Source organism: Homo sapiens, chromosome 11 (genome assembly GCF_000001405.40).
Source record: "Homo sapiens chromosome 11, GRCh38.p14 Primary Assembly".
NCBI lineage: Eukaryota > Metazoa > Chordata > Mammalia > Primates > Hominidae > Homo > Homo sapiens.
This window is the reverse complement of record NC_000011.10, coordinates 71,309,281-71,311,067: the sequence shown is the minus strand read 5'-3', so window position 1 is coordinate 71,311,067 and position 1,787 is coordinate 71,309,281. Positions and strand designations below refer to the sequence as shown.

Sequence of the window (1,787 nt, the reverse complement as noted above, 5' to 3'; positions counted from 1 at the left end):
TCAAACAACGGATACTTTTTCTCTCACGGTCGTAGAGGGTGGAAGTCGAGATCAAAGCGTCGCAGGGCTGGTTCCTCCTGAGGCCTCTCTCCTTGGCTTGTAGATGCCACCTTCTCCCCATGTCTTCTCAGGGTCAACCCTCTGTGTGTGTCTGAGTCCTTCTCTTCTTATAAGGACACAGTCATGTGGGACTAGGACCCACTCTGAAGACCTCAATTTAACTTATTTGCCTCTTTAAAGACCCAAATGTGGTCACATCCTGAGGCACTGGGCGATAGGGCTTCAACATATGAATTGGTGGTGGAGGGGAACAACCCATCATATTCTTTTATTTTTTTGAGATAGGGTCTCACTCTGTTACCCAGGCTGGAATGCAGTGGCACCATCATGTCTCACTGCAGCCTCGACCTCCCAGGTTCAAGTGATCCTCCCACCTCAGCCTCCCAACTAGCAGGGACTACAGGCACACACCACCACACCTGGCTAATTTTTTATTATTTGTAGAGACAGGGTCTCACTATGTTGCCCAGGCTGGTCTCGAACTCCTGGACTCAAGCAATCCTCCCGCTTCAGTCCCCCAAAGTGCTGGGATTACAGGCGTGAGGCACCACACTGGGCCTCATCATATTCTTTCTTACTCATGTGATTTCTGTGTTATAGCCAACCATTAATGCTGAGAATTATGACACAGAAGGAAAGAAAAAGTCCCCTCGCCTTTCACTTCTTCCTTACCCACCAGTAAGTGGAAGGTAGAGAGTTTAGAATGTATGCATCTGGAGGAGTAAAAGAAAAGCTGCTGTTTTGTCTTACAAGAACACAATACATGTGCAGGTGTGAGCCATGAAAGACAAATGGTATAATTTCTCCAATTCCACACACAGGTTCAATGATCTTATACATGAGTTTAAAACCAATTTATACGAATAATTTAAATTTTAAATTTTTCTTTATTTAGAATGATATTCATTGCAAATCTAAAAATAGGACATCAAGAGAGAAATGGAAGAAATCAGTGACAAGTTTATCTTACAATAGCTTTATAACACGTTATTCCTGACTTTTGAACAAAGGCTCTTCATTTTCATTTGAACTGGGGAAAATTTGTACCAAATTTTTGCAGCCAACCTTGCTGGGCCACAAAGGTCCCCCATCCCCAAACATTGTACCAAATTCTTAGGTCCACCCTGATTATCTACCAATCAATTGCTGCACCAGAGAGGCGATGCCTGTGTGCTGATTGGCTTAGGTCTGAGTCACATGCCCTGCACTGACCAATCACAGCAGTGATCCCCATCAGAGCCCACCCTGAGCTGGGGGCAGGGGCCATCCCTCCCAATCCCAGGTCTGCCCCATAGAGGGGTAGTCCCTAAGAAAATCTGTTTGTTATTAGGAATAAGGAGAATAGGAGTAGACTTGGGGGGACAGCCAGTGTAGATGCACTCTGCATGGTTTTGTAAGCCTTAGAATCTAAGAATCTTGGCCTTAGCATCTTGCCTTTGAGAGTCTGTCACCATTTTAATGACCTATTTGTCTAAGCGTTTCTTTAATGTCCACCTCCCCGGAGAGCCTCTGAGCTCAACGACAGTGGGGACAGCTTGCCTGGATTGCTGATGTGTGCACAGCTGGGTGTGGTGTGCCTTGTCTTGCCTTTCTGGGCTGAACCAATGTACGTCATACATGTATCTATTGATGTCTCATGGCTCCCTAAAGCCAAGCTGTTCCTGACCGACCACCTTGGGCATATGTCACCAGGACTTCTTGAGGCTGTGGCACACGCACATCCTTAA

At 45.9% G+C, this 1,787-nt stretch overlaps 1 annotated feature.

The window, feature by feature from the left end:
• Positions 605–714: an enhancer, noted in NCBI's record as "active region_5165". NCBI's record gives its function as "activates an Ori minimal core promoter by ATAC-STARR-seq in GM12878 lymphoblastoid cells {active_cell/tissue: GM12878}" and the evidence as "EXISTENCE:reporter gene assay evidence [ECO:0000049][PMID:35858748]".